The following is a 20,290-nucleotide window of genomic DNA, read 5'->3' as shown; positions in this document are numbered from 1 at the left end:
TGCTGGTCCATAGTTTTGCTTCTGCCCTTAACTAAGAATAACTATTTTTTTTTTCCAAGAGTGGCTTTAAGATTCAACTTCCTCACTTTATGCTTCAAATAAAGTTAATTATGTTTGGGAGAAATTAGGAACTCTCTTTTCCTATAGACTGCTGTTCCCTCAGGACAAGCTCTCTAAGCAATAGGTTTGGTGGTATACCCTCCGGTTGTCTCAGCTGCATTTATAAATAAGCTCATGCAAGGACAGTCAAAGTTTTATTATGCTGGCCATCCATGCTTCTGGTACAGCTTCCATCATTTAGATAAGGTCTGCGTGGAGGAAGTGAGATTCCTACCACTTGGCCATACTCACCAAAAATTTAGGCTCTTCTACTTAAAATTGAAAGGTTCTTTGCTATACTTACTGAGAGTAGAAGTTCCATAATGTTGAGTTGGGCAAGGTGAGAAAGAATGGATTGTGGCTCAAATTCTCTTGACTCTGGGCATCATTACTGATTTTTAGTATATTTTCTTGAATAGATGTTTTCTACTTTGCTCTTTGCACTTTAGTCAATTTTCAAACATTTAAAATTGTTCTTCATAATATTTTGACCAGTTTTGCTTGATTTGCTGGGTATAGGGTTCATGGAATTCCTCAGGCTGTAATCCAAAAGAGGAATACTCTTTGTGTTTTTAATATTAATTTCTGTAAGGACTAAAGATGTTGAGCATTCTTATGTTCTTAGTAGCCATTTGTATATCTGTTTTGGAGAAATGTCTACTGATAACCTTTGCCCAACTGAATGAAGTATTTTCTGTTTTTATTTTAATTATAGAGTTGTAAGCATCTCTTATATATTCTGGATACAAATCCCTCATCACATAAATAACCTGGAAAATTTTCCTCCATTCTGTGAATTGTCTTTTTATTTTTTCAGTGCTGTACTTTCAAGTACGAAAATTTTTTTTTTTGCATTTATACTACTTTTATTAAGTCTGAACTCTCTGATGTTGAGTAAGATGTGAGCAGATATTAATGACTTTTTCATATTCTTTATATTTGTAAAGATTTTTTCAAGCACAAATGATCTCCTGTGCAGTAAGGTGTGAGCATTGGTTAAAAGTTTTGCCACATTCTTCACACTTGTACAAGTTGTTTTTTTGTATGAATTATCTTATGTTCAATCAAGTGTAACAACCATTTAAAAGCTTTGTTACATTCTTCACATTTCTAAGATTTCTCACCAATACAATTTCTTTTATGTTTAGAAAAGTTTGAGGTGTTGTCAAAATCATTGTTACATCTTTTAGGTTTGTGGAGTTTCTCACCAACATGAATTTTCTTATGTCCAGTAAGGCTTGAGTATTGGTTAAAAGTTTTGCCATATTCTTCACATTGGTAGGGTTTCTCTCCAGTATGACTTCTCTTATCTAGTAAGGTGTGAGGATTGATTAAAGGCTTTACCACATTTTTCATACTGGTAGGGTTTCTCTGCAGTATGAATTATCTTATGTGTAGTAAGGTGTGAGAAATGATTAAAGGCTTTGCCACATCTTCACATGTGTACAGTTTCTCTCCAGTATGATTTTTTTATGTTCAGTAAGTTTTGAAGATCGATAGAAAGATTTGCCATATTTTCCACATTGGTAGTGTTTCTCTCTAGTATGAATGCTCTTATGTCTAGTAAGGTGTGAGGACTTGTTAAAGGCTTTGGCACATTTTTCACATTTGTAGGTTTTCTCTCCAGTATGAATTATCTTATATGTAATAGGGTGTGAGGACTGCCTAAAGGCTTTGCCATATTCTTCACATTTGTAGGGTTTCTCTGTAGTATGAATTATCTTATGTCTGGTAAGGTGTGAGGACTGGTTAAAAGCTTCGCCACATTCTATAACTTTGGAGAGTTTCTCTGTAGTATGAATTATCTTATGTCTGGTAAGGTGTGAGGACTGGTTAAAAGCTTTGCCACATTCTGTACCTTTGGAGAGTTTCTCCCCAGTATGAATTTTCTCATGTTCAGTAATGTATGAGGGTTGGTTAAAATCTTTGCCACATTCTTTATATTTGTTGAATTTTTCTCTGGTATGAATTATCTTGTGTAGTAAGGATTGACGACTGGTTAAAGACTTTGCCACATTCTTCAAATTTGTAGGGTTTCTCTCCATTTTGAATTATCTGATATGTAGTAAAATATGAGGAAAGATTAAAGGCTTTGACACATTTTTGACTTTTATAGGGTTTCTCTCTAGTATAAATTATCTTACGTGTAGTAAGGTTTGAGAACTGGTTAATGGCGTTGCCACATTCTTCACATTTGTAGGGTTTCTCTCCAATATGAATTCTTTTATGTTTGTTTAGTAAAGATTGAGGACCCATTAAAGGCTTTTCCATAGTATTCATATTTGTAGAAATTTACTCTAGTATAAGTTAGTTTATGTTGAGTTAGGTTTGAAAACACGCAAAATAATTTGCCACATTCTTCACATTTGAAAGGTTTTTGTTCTAGTATGTCTTATCTTACGTCCATTTAAATTTGAAGATTTGTGAAACATTTTCACGTATTTATCATATTCAAATATTTCATGCTGGGTAGTCAGCAAACGTTGATCAAGTCCATTATAACCTCCTTTTTGCACCTTGCAATCATCTACACATTTACCACGTTTTCTTAACTGTAAATTCTCACGTTTGCATTTTCCATAACTTCTCAATGTCACTTTTTGGAAAGAATCTTTTATGATCTGCTCTGGCCAAAAGTCCTGGGAAAAATGAGAACACATAACTGGGGATCAGGAAGACCAGGTTTCTGTAATTCTCTAACATCACATTACTATATAAATTCCACTGTGCGGTGTCCAAGCATTGTCACTTCACCAGAAAGAATTCTATGACCACATCCCTAAATTTCAATTTTTCCTTAGAGTCACATTAGGCACTTTATTAAAATGACATGGATGTTTCTGCCCATAACATTAAATAGAACAATTTCTAGGCTTTCAGGGGGCCCTGGCATCTTAGCTGTGCATCTCCCAACACTTGCTGGTTACAGGACCACAGAAGCTGGACCTCTAGGAGCAGAGAACACAGAGAAGTAAAGACAAGACCTGGAGCTACAGCTGCAGCGAGAGACCAAAAGATTTTCATTTTGATGAAGTCCAATTTATTGATTTATATTTTATAGCTTGTGATTTATTATTGTATATTAGAAACAATTGCCTAATGCAAGTGTAGAAAGTATTACTGCTATATTTTCTTCTAATAGTTTTATATATTTGTCTTATTCATTAGGTCTCTGAACCATTTGGAGTTAATTTTTAAATATGGTGAGAGAAAGCAGTCTAACTACATACTTTTTTTATACAGTCTTATTGAAAAGAGTTTTTATTTCATTGAATAGTTTTAGAAACTTTGTTAAAAACTAATTTTGTATAAAAGTTAGAGTTTATTTCAAGATTCACAATTCTGTTTTATTTATGTATATGTTAATCCATATATCACGATCACACTGTTCAAATGACTATAGCTTTGAAGTAAGGTTTTAAATTGGGTAGTGTTCTTTTTAAAATTTATTTTTGACTATTCTGAGTTTCTTTAAATTACACATGGATTTTAAATCAGCTTGCCAAATTTCTGAAAATGGGCTCTGAAATTTTGATAGAAATTGCTTTAAATATGTAGATCAATTTGGAAATTATTGTTATCTTAAAATATCATCTGCCAATCCATGAGTATGTTTCCTTTCATTTTATTTAAATTTCCTTTTGTTCTTTCAACAATATTTTTCAATTTACAAGTTTTGCACTACTTTGAAATATTCATTTCAATGTTTTTTATTCTTTTTGATGTATTTTAAATAAAATTGCTTTTTTGGTTTTTTATTGCTAATGTGTGTAAATACAATTGATGTTTGCACATTGACTTATTATCCTGAAAACTTGTTGAAATCTAGGTGGTATGGTATTGTGTACATATACATATATATATATATATATAATATTGTGTATATATATAATATTGTGTATATATATAATATTGTGTGTATATATAGATACACACACACACATATATATTTTCTGCATCTTGTTCTTACCATGATAAAATTGTGATATTGACATCTTTATTATTGCTTAATTATTTATTTCTTACTTCAATTATGTTCAGTTTTGCCTTATTTATTTTGGGGATTTGTTATTAGGTGCATGTATATGTATAATTGTTATATTTTTCTGATAACTATTTTTACTATAATAAAAATGTTTGTCTTAAAAACTATTGTGTCTGATATTATTATAGCCACTTGAGCATTCGTTTAGTTATTGCTTTCATGACTTATCTTTTTCCATCCTTTATTTTAAATGCTGACAGAATTTTGTGCATCTATTGTAGACAGTATGAAAAATAAGGATCATCTTTTATTCATTCTGCCACTATTTGCCTTTTAATTGGAGCATTTATATCAGTTACATTTCATGCAATTTCTGTAAAGATAGGATTTATTTTGCCATTTTGCTATTTATTTTTGACATGTCATATGTTATTTTCCTCTTTTTCTCCATTACTCCTTTGTTTTGTGATAAATGTATATTCCCTTATAATTACTTATTTTAAAATAATTTTTAATTTATTTTATGTAGTTTTAAAATAATTTATTAATGATAATTACAGTAAACAGTTTAAAATAATCTAGTTCAGTTTAATACTAAATAAGCTATATGGTATAAAAAAGTTTGCTCCACTATATGTTAATGTCTTTCTCCCTCTTTAAGTTTTTATTGTGAAAATATATCATTATATATTTAAAGCCTGTCCAAAAGATTTACAATTATTGCTTTATGCAGTTTCTTTCAAATCAGATCAGATAAAAAAAGTTACAAGAAAAACCTTTACACTAATTTTTATATTTACCTCTGTCTTTACCTTTATCAGTGTAGTTACCTCTACAAATGCACTTTATTACTAATGTGTTTCAAGGTGCTCTTAATTTAATTGCTAACATGTTTCTGGGTCCCATGAGTCCCTGAAGCTCTGCTTATTTTTCTTTATTCTTTTTTATTCTATTTCTCAGTCTGAATAATTTAAATTAATTTTTTCTCAAGTTTGTGGATTAGCTTCCTGATTCAAACCTGCTATTCAGCTCATCTAATACATTTTTTAATTTAGGTTGTTATTTTAATGCAGGATTTCTATTTTGCTCTTTGTAATAATTCCTTTCTGTATCTTTATATTCTCTATTTGGTGAGACACTATTCTCATAATATCCTTAATTTTTTATACATGGCTTGTTTCAGTTCTTTGAGAAACTTTGTAATACTAAAGTCTTTGTGTAGTGAGTCCGAAATCTAGGCTACCTCCCAGTGAACTTCTATTGACTGCTTTTTTCTCTTTGTTTTGACCACAATTTCCTGTTTCGTTGCATACCCATTAGTATTTTTGTTGAAAATCAGATATTTTAAATAATATAATATTGCAAATGTGGAAATCAGATTCTTTTTCTCCCAGTATTTTCTTGTTGTTTGTTTCTTTAGTAACTTACCTGAATTAGTTCTATACATCTGTATTCCATATTATTTGTATCCACTGAAGTCTGCTTAACGAGCTTAGTTTTCAGCCAACAATTAGACAGAGATTTTCTTAAATGTTTTGAGCCAATAAATCTTCAATCCTTTGCTAATTGTGTGTCTGTGTGTGTGAGAGAGAGAGGAGAGAATATGTGTGTGTTGTGGCATGCATTCAGTACACTAGCAATATCCAATTTTACCTTAAAGTTCATTTTCTTCTTGCATGGAAACTCAGGTCTAGCTAGAGCTAGAAGAGTGGGTCTCTGTTGCATCTCTCTTGAGCATGTGTACATGTCATGGCCTACCAGATTACAAGGAATATGTAGGATCTTTCCCACTCACCCACGTACATTTTATTAATTTTCTTCTCTTTTCTTTTTTTTGCCAGCCTTTTTGTTGCCCAAACGTGAGTCACCACCTCAGGCAGCTGCAATATTAAATAATTGCCAGTGATAATTTTTACCAAATTCCATGGATGTATGCCTATTTCTATGAAACAGGCTTTGAGTCAAATCAAATGGCAAGACCCGTTAAAAGGGACTCTCTAGAGAGTTTCCAGACAAGTCAGATAGTGAACACTTTCTGGGGATGGGTATTTTTGAGATGTTCTTAACCTGGTATCCACTTCTCAGTGGCTGCTAGGGTGCTGATTTTTACAGTTATTTTAGGTACGTATATTTTAACAATTTTTTTTGGCAGTGTTGTCAATAACTTTATGGAGGAACAGGTTTTGGGAAGTCTCTGCCTTTCATCTTCTTCTATATTAGATTTTCAGAAAATTTTACAGGTGATTTTTCAAAAACAAATCCTTCATCAAACAATTTATCATCAATGTCCAGGACACATTCTCCATTTCTGCTTTGTCATCTTGAATTTCTTTGTTTTTCTCCTTAGGTTGGCCCTCTATGTTCATAAAATAGCTGCAGGAAATCCAAGCATCACAACCTCACACAATAGAAACCAAGGGCAGAAAGAAACGGAAATACCTTCTTTGTGTCTTTTTTGAGTGGGGAAGTTTTTTCCAGAATTCCTCTCCCTCCATGCACACACTAGTAGCTTTTTCCTCGCATCTAATTGTCCAGATTGCACTGCTTACCCATTCATAAACCAATCATTGGCTAGGAGAATGGGATTATTATGAGTTTCTCACACTAATCAGATTTACCCTCTGCAGCTTGGGAAAAACCCTAAAGTTTTTTTCTTTAACTTTTATTTTAAATTCAGGAGCACATGTGAAGGTTTGTTACATAAGTAAACTTGTGTCATGGGGTTTTGTTGTACAGATTCTTTTATCACTGAGGTATTAAGCCTAGTACCAATAGTTATCTTTTCTGCTCCTCTCCTTCCTGCCACCTTCCACCCTCAAGTAGACCCCAGTGTCTGTTGTTTCCTTCTGGTGTTCATAAGTTCTCTTCATCTAGCTCCCACTTTTCAGTAAGAACATGTGGTATTTGGTGTTCCATTCCTGCATTAGTTTGATAAAGATGATAGTCTCTAGCTCAATCCACGTCCCCAAAAAGATATGATCTTATACATTTTTATGGGTCCATAGTATTCCATGGTGTATTTGCACCACATTATGTTTATCCAACCTGTCATTGATGAGCATGAGGTTGATTCCATGTCTTTGCTATTGTGAATAAAGCAGCAATAAATATTCACATGCATGTGTCTTTATGGTAGAATGATTTATATTCCTCTGGTATATAGCTAGTAATGGTAGTGCTGGGTTAAATAGTAGTTCTGCTTTTAGCTCTTTGAGGAATCACCATACCGCTTTCCATAAAGGTTGAACTAATTTTCACTTTCACCAAAGGTGTATAAGTGTTCCCTTTTCTCTACAACCTAACCAGCATCTGTTATTTTTTGACTTTTTAATCATAGTCATTCTGACTGGTGTGAGAGGGTATCTCATTGTGCTTTCGATTTGCATTGCTTTAATAATCAGTGATATTGACCTTTTTTTTAATATGCCTGTTGGCCGCATGTATGTCTTCTTTTGAGAAGTGTCTGTTTATGCCCTTTGCCCACTTTTTAATGGGTTTGTTTGTTTTTCTCATGTCAATTTGTTTTTTTCTAGAGATGCTGGATATTAGACCTTTGTCAGATGCATAGTTTGAAAATAATTTCTTTGATTCTATAGGTTTTCTGTTTACTCTGTTGATAGTTTATTTGCTGTTCAGAAGCTATTAAGTTGAGGTCCCACTTATTTTTTTTTGCTTTTGTTGTGACTTATTTTGGTGTCTTTGCCATGAAATCTTTGCCTGTTCCTATGTCCAGGGTGGTATTGCCTAGGACATCTTCCAGGGTTTTTACAGTTTGGGGTTTTACATTTAAGTCTTTAATCCATCTTGATTTGATTTTTATATATGGTGTAAGGATGGGGTCCAGTTTCCATTTTCTGCATTTAACTAACCAGTTATCACAGCATCATTTAGTGAATAGAGAGTCTTTTCCCCATTGCTTGTTTTTCTCAGGTTGTTGAAGATCAGATGACTGTAGGTGCTTGGCCCCATTTCTGGGCCCACTATTCTGTTCCATTGGTCTATGTGCCTGTTTTTTTTGTGTGTGTGCCAGTATCTTGCTGTTTTGGTTACTGTAGCCCTGTAGCATAAAGTCGGGTAATGTGATGCCTCCAGCTTTGTACTTTTTGGGTAGGATTGCCTTGGGTATTCAGGCTCTTTTTTGATTCCATGTGAAGTTTAAAATAATTTTATTCTAGTTCTGTGAAGAATGTTGCTGGTGGTTTGTTAGGAATAGCAGTGAATCTGTAAATTGCTTTGGGCAGTATGGCCATTTTAATGATATTGATTCTTTCTATTCATGAGCATGGGATGTTTTTTCCATTTGTTTGTGTCATCTCTGATTTCTTTGAACAGTATTTTTAAATTCTTGTTGTAGAAATCTTTCACCTTCCTTATTAGCTTTATTCTTAGGTATTTTATTCTTTTTGACACAATAGTGAATGAGATTATTTTTCTGATTTGGCTCTCAGCTTGTCTGTTATTGGTTTATAGGAATGCTAGTAATTTTTGGACATTGATTTTTATATCCTGAAACTTTGCTGACACTGTGTATTATGATCTATTTATTCCTATAATGAATCCCTCAGCCTTAGAAGAGACTTAAGCAAACTTGTGAATAATTGTCACACTAGCCCATTGATACAACATAAATTTAAAAACAGAGAAAAACAGTTTTAGTTCAGATAAAGTGGAGTAGACATATTTCTCCCTATTCCTTCTGCACAATACAACTAACTACTTTAGACATAATATATAAAACTCATAAAAATCTCTGAAAGATGTAGAAACAAATGTAAACTCAGTGGATACCTTGGGACTCAAGGACTGAATCAGTAGTATATTTCCTGAGGTTCCTTTTTGCCTACTATATATCTCAGACAAAGTGTTAGAGACACTCATCTCCTAAAAATACAAATAGGCACAGAAAAAATATTCTCAAGGAGAGTCTGTGCTCTCCAGCCAGAGGCTTGGAAAAGAATGGCCTAGATGGGCAGAAACATTTTTGATAATACTTGCTCTACTCCAGAGAAACATCACAAAAAAAAAAATTCCACAACTTCTTCCATGCCACATCAGTGGAGGCTCAGTGAGGAACCTAGACATTCATCCCTGCTTAGTACTTGCAAGGTATCCCTCCCACTCCCTTTTGGGGTGGTACCACTGGAGGCTGAGAGGGGAGCCCAGACTTCCACTTCCACTCCCTAGTAATAACGCGGTTGCTTCTCCATTTCCCTCCTGGCACAGTGGAGGACTGCAAAGATAGAAGATTTAAATAAGATCCAGAGTCTCATAGCATAATACCAAAATGTCCATCTAGTATGTAGCTGAAACTCACTCATGTAAAACCGTGGAAAAATCTTAAATTGAATGCATTCCATGAGATCAGCATCATCCTGATACCAAAACCTGGCAGAGTCACAACAACAACAACAAAAAAACCTTCAGGTCAATATCCTTGATGAACTTTGATGCAAAAATCCTCAACAAAGTAATTGCGAACAGAATCCAGAAGCACATCAAAAAGCCATAAGGAAGTAATAAATTTTTAAGTGCTTAAAGAAAACAGTTGTTTACACAAACTCCTGTATCCATCAAAAATGTCCTTTATAAATGAAGGAGAAATCAAGATATTTTCTAGTGGAAGCAAATTCAGAGAATTTTTCACCAACAGATCTATGCTAAAAGAGTGGCTAAATGAAATCCTTGAAACAGAAAAGAATTGAAGGAAGTAATCTTGGAACATCAAGAAGGAAGAATGAACAATAGGAAGAGTGAAAATATGGGTAAATAAATCAGACTTTTTTTTTTTTTTGACAGAGTCTCAGTCTGTCGGCCAGACTGGAGTGCAATGGTGCGATCTTGCCTCACTGCAAGCTCTGTGTCTCGGGTTCAAGCAATTCTCCTGCCTCAACCTCCTGAGTAGCTGGGATTACAGTTGCCTGCCACTACACCCGGGTGATTTTTGTATTTTTAGTAGAGACGAGGTTTCACCATGTTAGTCAGGCTGATCTCAAACTCCTGACCTCAGGTGATCCACCCGCCTCGGCCTCCCAAAGTGCTGGGATTACAGGTGTGAGCCACCGTGCCCAGCCAAAATGGACTATTTTTCTCTTGAGTCTTATAAATTATATTTGGCAGTTGAATCAAAAATTATAAAATTGATGTTATTTTCAACGCATTTGGAGGAAATATTTAACTTGGAAAATGTTTCCTGTGCACTTGAGAAAGATGTGTAGTCTGATGTTGTTGAGTGGGATGTTCTGTATATGTCTGTTAAATCTAATTGGTTTATGGTGAGTTTTCTATCTGTTATTGAAATTGGTGTATTGAAGTTCCCTAGTATTCATGTATAAGTGTATTATTTCCCTCTTATTCTGTCAATTAAAAAATATTTGCTTCGTGTTTCAGAACATTAATTTCGATGTGTATGTGTTTATAATTGTCATATCTACTTAGTGAATTAACCTTATTATTGTTATATAATATCAGTTTTTGTCTACTCTAACAGTTTTTTACTCAAAGTCTATTTTGTCTGATATTAGTAAAGCCAACCCAGCTTTCTTTTGATTACTGTTAACATGGATATCTTCTTTCATCCTTTCACTTTCAACTTATTTGTATCATTATATCTAAACTGACACTCGTATATCCAACTATACAGGGTTTGTTAATTTCTTCATGTAATTCTCTTTTGGTTTATCCTAGTTTTTGGTAAATTCATGTCTTTGCTCAAATTTGAGAAGTTTTTCATTATTCTTTCTTCAAACAATCTTTTTTGCCTATTTCTCTCTCTCTTCTTCTGAGAGTCTCATTATATGTATGTTTGTCCATTTGATGGTGTCCCTCAAGTCCTGCAAGTTCTAACTTTTCTGTATTCATTTATTTCTCTGCTCCTCTGAATTTCTAATTTAAATTTTATTTTCTTCAAGTTCACTGATTGTTTTTTTGCCCAAATATTCTGTTGAAAAACAGAAACTTCACAGCCACTCAGACTAGGATTGGAATCCTAGTTTTGTCACTTACTAGAGAATAGTCATTAGGCAAATTACTTCATCTCTTTGAGTTTTAGTTTCCACATCTGAAAAAAATACCCACCTGTAGCAGAGACTGCTAATTATCCTCTTATATTTATATTCTCTGATTAAATGGCAATACAAATTTTAGCTGGTATGTGGTCACTCAACAAAATTTTAGATTTTTGCTCCTCCTTCCTCCTTTGGATGTAGGTATGGCTATGTGACTAATAATTGGAAAATAGATTTGAAAAAAAAAATGACATAAGTAGCTTCTAAGTGGCTCCCTCTTCTGCTGGCTAGAATACAGATGACATGGTGGGAACTGGGGCATTTGCCTTGAACCATGATTAAATTCTTCGCTCTACTGAATACTTGGCAAGTAATTTTCCATTTCCTTTTCTTTTTTTTTTGTTATATATTAAGTTCTGAAATACATGTGAGGAACATGCAGGTTTGTTACACAGGTATACATGTGCCATGGTGGTTTGCTGCACCCATCAACCCATCATATATATTAGGTATTTCTCCTAATGCTATCCCTCCCCTTGACCCACCCCCCAGCAGGTCCCAGTGTGTGATGTTCCCATCCCTGTGTCCATATGTTCTCATTGTTCTACTCCCACCTGTCATTGAGTACATGTGGTGTTTGGGTTTCTGTTACTGTGTTAGTTTGCTGAGGATGATGGTTTTCAGCTTCACCCAAATCCCTGCAAAGGACGTGAACTCATTGTTTTTTATGGCTGCATAGTATTCCATGGTGTATATGTGCCACATTTCTTTATTCAGTCTATCATTGATGGGCATTTGGGTTAGTTCCAAGTCTTTGCTATTGTGAATAGTGCTGCAATAAACATACGTGAGCATGTGTCTTTGCAGTAGGATGATTTATAATCCTTTGGGTGTATACCCAGTAATGGGGTTGCTGGGTTAAATGGAATTTCTGATTCTAGATCCTTGCGGAATCACCACACTGTGTTCCACAATGGTTGAACTAATTTACACTCACACCAACAGTGTAAAAGTCTTCCTATTTCTCCACATCCTCTCCAGCATCTGTTGTTTCCTGACTTTTTAGTGGTTGCCATTCTAACTGGCGTAACATGGTATCTCATTGAGGTTTTGATTTGCATTTCTCTTACGACCAGACATGATGAGCTGTTTTTCATGTGTTTTTTTGCCACATAAATGTCTTCTTTTGAGAAGTGTCTGTTCATATACTTTGTCCACTTTTTGATGGGTTGTTTGTTTTTTTCTTGTAAATTTAAGTTCCTTGTAGATTCTGTGTTTTTTGTCATGAAGTCTTTGCCCATGACTATGTTGTGAATGGTCTTGCCTAGGTTTTCCTCTAGGGTTTTTGTGGTTTTAAGTCATACATTTAAATATTTAATCCATATTGAGTTAATTTTTGTATAAGGTGTAAGGAAGGGGTCCAGTTTCAGTTTTCTGCACATGACTAGTCAGTTTTTCCAAAACCATTTATTAAATAGGAAATCCTTTCATCATTGCTTGTTTTTCAGTTTTGGCAAAGATCAGATGGCTGTAGATGTTTGGTGTTATTTCTGAGGCCTTTGTTCTGTTCCATTTGTCTATATATCTGTTTTGGTACCAGTACCATGCTGTTTTGGTTATGGTAATTTTGTAGTATAGTTTGAAGTCAGGTAGGGTGATGCCTCCAGCTTTGATCTTTTTGCTTAAGATTGTCTTGGCTATACATACGGTTTTTGGTTCCATATGAAATTCAAAGAAGAGTTTCTAATTCTGTGAAGGAAGTCTATGGTAGCTTGATGGGAATAGCATTGAATCTATAAATTACTTTGGACAGTATGGCCATTTTATGATACTGATTTTTCCTATCCATGAGCAGGGAATGTTTCTCTATTTCTTTGTGTTGTCTCTTATTTCCTTCAGCAATGGTTTGTAGTTCTCCTTGAAGAGGTCCTTCACATACCTTGTAAGTTGGATTCCTAGTTATTTTATTCTCTTTGTAGCAATTGTGAATAACAGTTCACTCATGTTTTGGCTCTCTGCTTGTCTCTTATTCACGTATAGGAATGCTTGTAATTTTTCCATATTGATTTTGTATCCTGAGACTTTGCTGAAGTTGCTCATCAGCTTACGGAGTTTTGGGGCTGAGATGATGGGGTTTTCTAAATATAGAATCATGTCTTCTGCAAACAGAGACAATTTGACTTCTTATTTTCCTATTTGAATACCCTTATTTCTTTCTCTTGCTAGATTGCCCTGGCTAGAACTTCCAATACTATTTTGAATAGGAGTGGTGAGAGAGGGCATCCTTGTCTTGTGCTGGTTTTCAAAGGGAATGCTTCCAGCTTTTGCCCATTCAGTATGATATTGGCTGTGAGCTTGTCATAAATAGCTCTTATTAATTTGAGATACTTTCCATCAATACCTAGTTCACTGAGTGTTTATAGCATGAAAGGGTGTTGAATTTTATTGAAGGCCTTTTCTACATCTATTAAGATAATCATGTTGTCTTTGTCACTGGTTCTGTTTATGTGATGAATTAAGTTTATTGATTTGCATATGTTGAATCAGCCTTGCATCACAGGAATGCAACCGCCTTGATCTTGGTGGATAAGCTTTATAATGTGCTGCTGGGATCAATTTGCCAGTAGTTTATTGAGGATTTTCACATCAATGTTCATGAGGAATATTGGCGTGAAATTTTTTTTTGTTGATGTTGTGTGTCTGTTAGGTTTTGGTATTGGGATGATGCTGGCCTCATCAAATGATTTAGGGAAAAGTCCCTCTTTTTTATTGTTTAGAATAGTTTTAGAAGAAAAGGTACCAGCTCCTCTTTGTACCTCTGGTATAAATTGGCTGTGAATCTGTCTGATCCTGGGATTTTTTTGGTTGGTAGTCTATTAATTACTGACTCAATTTCAGAACTTGTTTTTGTTCTACTCAGAGATTCGACCTCTTCCTGGTTTAGTCTTTGGAAGATGTATGTTTCCCAGAATTTATCCATTTCTTCTACATTTTCTGATTTATTTGCATAGGGGTGTTTATAGTATTCTCTGATGGTAGTTTGTATTTCTGTGTGATCAGCAGTGATATTTCCTTTATCGTTTTTGTTGTGTCTATTTGATTCTTCTCTCTTTTCTTCTTTATTATTCTGGCTAGAAGTCTATCTATCTTGTTAATCTTTTCAAAAAGCCAGCTCCTGGATTCCTTGATTTTTTGAAGGTTTTTTTTTGTGTGTGTTTGTGTGTATGTGTGTATCTCCTTCAGTTATGCTCTGATCTTAGTTATTTCTTGTCTTCTGCTAGCTTTTGAATTTGTTTGCTCTTGCTTTTCTAGTTCTTTTAATTGTGATGTTAGGGTGTCGATTTTAGATCTTTCCTGCTTTCTCATGTGGGCATTTAGTTTTATCAATTTCCCTCAAACACTGCTTTAGCTGTGTCCCAGCGATTCTGGCACATTGTGTTTTTGTTCTCATTCGTTTCAAAGAATTTATTTATTTTGGCCTTAATTTCATTATTTACCCAGTAGTCGTTCAAGAGCAGGTTGTTCAGTTTCCTTGTAGTTGTGCGGTGTTGAGTGAGTTTTTTCTTTTTTTCCCAACAATTTAATACTTTATATATTTATTTATATTATACTTTAAGTTCTGGGATACACGTGTAGAACATGCAGGTTTGTTATGTAAGTATACAGGTTCCATGGTGGCTTACTGCACCCATCAACATGTCATATACATTAGGCATTTCTCCTAATGCTCTCCCTCCCCTAGCCCCACAGCCTCTGACAGTACCTGGTGTGAGATTCTCCCCTCCTTGGGTACATGTGTTCTCATTGTTCAACTCCGACTTATGAGTGAGAACATGCAGTGTTTGGTTATCTTTTCTTGTGTGAATTTGCTGAGAATGATGGTTTCCAGCTTCATGCATGTCCCTGCAAGAACATGAACTCATCCTTTTTTATGGCTGCATAGTATTCCATGGTGTATATGTGCCACATTTTCTTTATCCAGTCTATCATTGATGGGAATTTAGATTGATTCCATGTCTTTGCTGTTGTGAATAGTGCTGCAACGGACATACATGTGCATGTGTCTTTACAATAGAATGATTTATATTCATTTGGGTATATATCCATTAATGGGATTTCTAGGTCAAATAGTATTTCTGGTTTTAGATCCTTGAGGAATTGCCACACTGTTTTCCACAACGGTTTAACTAATTTACGCTTCCACCAACAGTGTAAAAGCGTTCCTATTTCTCCACATGCTCTCTAGCCTCTGTTGTTTTCTGACTTTTTCATGATCGCCATTCTAACTGGACCGAGATGGTATCTCAGTGTGGTTTTGATTTGCATTTCTCTAACGATCAGTGATGATGAGCTTTTTATTACATGGTTCTTGGCTGCATAAATGTCTTTTGAGAAGTGTCGGTTCATATTCTGCACCCACTTTTTGATGGGGTTGTTTTTTCCTGTAAATTTGTTTAAGCTCTTTGTGGATGCTGGGTATTAGTGCTTTGTCAGATGAATAGATTGCAAAAATTTTCTCCCATTCTGTAGGTTGCCTGTTCAATCTGATGATAGTTTCTTCTGCTTTGCAGAAGCTCTTTAGTTTAAATAGATCCCATTTGTCAATTTTGGGTTTTGTAGCCATGGCATTTGGTGTTTTTGTCATGAAGTCTTTGCCCATGCCTATTTCCTGAATGGTATTGCCTAGGTTTTCTTCTAGAGTTTTTGTGGTTTTATGTCTTACATTTAAATATTTAATTCAGCTTGAGTTAATTTTTGTATAAGGTGTAAGGAAGGGGTCCAGTTTGAGTGAGTTTCCTTATCCTGCGTTCTAATTTGATTGCACTGTGGTGTGAGAGATGGTTTGTTATGATTTCCATTCTTTTGCATTTGCTGAGGAGGATTTTACTTCAAACTATGTCATCAATTTTAGAATAAGTGCTATGTGGTGCTGCAAAAAAATGTATATTCTGTTGATGTTGTGTGGGTATTTCTACAAATTTCTATCAAGTTTGCTTGGTCCAGAGCCGAGATCCAGTCCTGAATATCCTCAGTTTTCTATCTCTTTGATCTGTCTAATATTGACAGTGGGGTCTTAAAATCTCCTACTTTTATTGTGTTGGAGTCTAAGTCTCTTGGTAGGTCTCTAAGAATTTGCTTTATTCATCTGGGTGCTCTCGTATTGGATGTATATATATTTAGGTTAGTTAGCTCTTCTTGTTGTACTGATCCCTTTACCATTATGTAATGCCCTTCTTTTTCTTTTTTGATCTTTGTTGATTTAAAGTCTGTTTTATCAGAGACTAGAATTCCAACCTCTGCTGTTTTTTGCTTTTCATTTGCTTGGTAAATATTCCTCTATCCCTTTATTTTGAGCCTATGTGTGTCTTTGAATGTGAGATGGGTCTCTTGAATACTGCACACCGATGGGTCTTGACTCTTTATCCGATTTGCTAGTGTGTGCCTTTTAATTGGGGGCATTTAGCCCATTTATATTTAAGGTTAATATTGTTATGTGTAAATTTGATGTTGTCATTATGATTCTATCTGGTTATTTTGCCCATTAGTTGATGTTCTTTCTTCATAGTATTGATGGTTTTTACATTTTGGTATATTTTTGTGGTGGCTGCTACAGGTTTTTCCTTTCCATATTTAGTGTTTCCTTCAGGAGCTCTTGTAAGGCAGGCCTGGTGGTGACAAAATTCCTCAGCATTTGCTTGTCTGTACAAGGTTTTACTTCTCTTTCACTTATGAAGCTTAGTTTGGCTGGGTATGACAGTCTGTGTTGAAAATTCTTTAAGAATGTTGAATATTGACCCCCACCCTCTTCTGTCTTGTAGGGTTTCTGCAGAGTGATCTGCTGTTATTCTGATGGGCTTCCCTTTTTGGTTAACTAGAGTTTTCTCTCTGGCTGCCCTTAACATATTTTCCTTCATTTCAACCTTGATGAATATGACAATTATGTGTCTTGGGGTTGCTCTTCTTGAGGAGTATCTTTGTGGTGTGCTCTGTGTTTCCTGAATTTGAATGTTGACCTTTCTTGCTAGGTTGAGGAAGTTCTCCTGGATAATATCCTGAAGTGTTTTTTCCAACTTGGTTCTATTCTCCTTGTCACTTTCAGGTACACCAATCAAATGTAGGTTTGGTCTTTTCATGTAGTCCCATATTTCTCAGAGGCTTTGTTCTTTCCTTTTCATTCCTTTTTCTCTAATCTTGTCTTCATGCTTTGCTTTATTCCATTAAGTTGAACTTCAATCTCTGATATCCTTTCTTCTGCTTGATCGATTCGGCTATTGACATTTGTGTATGCTTCACGAAGTTCTCGTGCTGTGTTTTTAAGCTCCATTAGGTCATTTACATTCTTCTCTAAACTGGTTATTCTAGTTAGCATTTCCTGTAAGCCTTTATCAGGTTCTTTGCTTCCTTGTATTGGGTTAGAACATGCTCCTTTAACTCAAAGGATTTTGGTATTACCCACCTTCTGAAGCCTACTTCTGTCAATTCATCAAACTCATTCTTCATCCAGTTTTTTTCCCTTGCTGGTGAGGAGTTGTGTTCCTTTTGAAGAAAAGAGGCACTATGATTTTTGAAATTTTCAGCCTTTTTGTGCTGTTTTATCCTCATCTTCGTGGATTTATCTAACTTTGGTCTTTGATGTTGGTGACCTTCAAATGGGGTTTTCTCCTCTTCATCCTTTTTTTTTTTTTGATGTTGATGATATTGCTTTCTCTTTGTTAATTTTCCTTTAACAGTCGGGCCCCTCTTCTGAAGGTCTGCTGGAGTTTGCTGGAGGTCCGCTCTAGATCCTGTTTGCCTGGGTATCACCAGCGGAGGCTGCAGAACAGCAAAGATTGCTGCCTGCTCCTTCCTCTGGAAGCTTTGTCCCAGAGGGGCACCCACCAGATGTCAGCTGAAGCTCTCCTGTATGAGGTGTCTGTCGACCCCTGCTGGGAGGTGTCTCCTCGTCAGGAGGCTCAGGGGTCAGCGACCCACTTGAGGAGGCAGTCTGTCCCTTAGCAGAGCTCAAGCACTGTGCTGGAAGATCCGCTGCTCTCTGCAGAGCCAGTAAGCAGGTATGTTTAAGTCTGCTGCAGCTGCGCCTACAGCCGCACCTTCCCCCAACTGCTCTGTCCCAGGAAGATTGAAGTTTTATCTACAAGCTTCTCACTGGGGCTGCTGCCTTTCTTTCAGAGTTGCCCTGTCCAGAGAGGAGGAATCTAGAGACACAGTCTGACTACAGAGCCTTTGCTGCGCTGTGGTGGGCTCCGCCCAATTTGAAATTCCTGGTGGCTTTGTTTATTTACACTCTGAGGGGAAAACTGCCTACTCAAGCCTCAGTAATGGCGGATGCCCCTCCCCCCACCAACCTTGAGCATCCCAGGTTGACTTCAGACTGCTGTGCTGGCCGCGATAATTTCAAGCAAGTGGACCTTGGTTTGTTGGGATCTGAGGGAGTGGCATCCACTGAGCAAGACCACTTGGATCCCTGGCTTCAGCCTTCTTTCCAGGGAAGTGTACAGTTTTGTCTCTCTGGTGTTCCAGGTGCCACTGGGGTATGAGAAAATACTCCTGCATTTGCCCAAACAGCCACCCAGTTTTGTGCTTGAAATCCAGGGCCCTCGTGGTGTAGGCCCCCAAGGGAATCTCCTGGTCTGTAGGTTGTGAAGACTGTGGGAAAAACATAGTATCTGGGCCGGATAGCACTGTCCCCCATGGAGCAGTCCCTCACAGCTTCCCTTGGCGAGGGGAGGGAGTTCCCTGACCCCTTGCACTTCCTGGATGAGATGACACCTCACCCTGCTTCTGTTCACCCTCCATGGGCTGCACCCACTGTCTAACCAGTCCCAATGAGATGAACTAGGTACCTCAGTTGGAAATGCAGAAATCACTTGCCTTCTGCATTGGTCTTGCCTGGAGCTGCAGACCAGAGCTCTTCCTATTCAGCCGTCTTGCCTGGGAATCAATTTTCCATTTTCTGCATGTGTAAAATGGAGAAAATATTGACCTTTTAGAGATGCTGGTAATGTTCATTGAGAGAAGGGCTTCAAACATACATTGGAGATGGTCAAGTATTGATTATTTTTAGTAATAAAATACAGCCTGAATATATGGAAGGAGACTTCATATTTAAAAATCATTAGGGTCTAATTTCATCTCATTCACTCATAAGTTGTGTCATACTGTGCAGAGCCCATAAAATTTCTCAGCATCATTTTTTCAACCGTAAGATGGGAAAAATCATACTTCCTCTTAAAGATAAGGAAATAAGTCATTGACATAGTTTCTATGAAAGTGTTTGGCACATAGTAAGTGCTCAGTATTATTTTTTATTTTTCCTTCTTTTCTTTTATAGATGTCTACTGTACACAACCCTGTCTGGGTAAAGACACTCATGGGCATCATGAAGACAATTAGGTCCTGGTGGAGAAGTGAGAAATTTGGTAACATTGGAAGATGAACAAAAAGCAATTTGAACGTTGGCCCATTTTGTTTTATTTTGTATAATTCCCTTTGAGCATTTGTTTTGTTCTCCTTAGCATGAACTGAGCATTAACCTAGTAGGTCATTTCTGTAGTTACTTTGCAACATAGATGCTTTTGGCAGTCTGATATAATGTACTGACCCTTCTTAGAATAATACTTTGAATGGATAAAATAAAATATAGAAGATTACAATGAAAACAAATTGTATTTAAAAGTACTTATCAAATTGTACAAAACAAAGTTTGTGATAAAGAAATATACATATATTTCTTTATTAGTGCACTAAATAGCAAGATCTAATTATAGGTTTAATAACCACCACAATTTCAAAGTAGTGATGAGCAAACATGATATTCCAAGATATGTGCAACAACAGTAGTGTGATGTGACCATTTTGTAATTTCTACTGACTATAGAACTCAGACATTATCAAAACTATTCTGATTTGTTGCTTACATTCATAATTGAAGGGAGAGCTAAGTTTCAGTTAAACGTTAGTAAAAGTAAAAAATGTACTTTTTATTCATCTATGTTCACAGATACCTGCCTTAACCCCAGCATGAGAGAGCCTTTATAGTAAATATTTTATAATATGGAAAAATACCATTGACAGGTAAAATTAAAAATGAAAAACATCCCTCAAACATATTTGGTACTACATACACCAAATTGATTGACGGAAAGCAGAACTAAAGTTGTAGGAGACCTTATAAGCTATTTATTATATCCACTCTATTTCA

The 20,290-nt window shown here is 35.8% G+C and overlaps 1 pseudogene; it reads right to left on the bottom strand.

The window, feature by feature from the left end:
• LOC100129144 (zinc finger protein 681 pseudogene) lies at positions 935 to 2,766 on the bottom strand (annotated as a pseudogene).

Source organism: Homo sapiens, chromosome X (assembly GCF_000001405.40).
Source record: "Homo sapiens chromosome X, GRCh38.p14 Primary Assembly".
In the NCBI taxonomy this organism is placed as follows: domain Eukaryota; kingdom Metazoa; phylum Chordata; class Mammalia; order Primates; family Hominidae; genus Homo; species Homo sapiens.
This window is presented reverse-complemented; position numbering and strand designations above follow the sequence as displayed.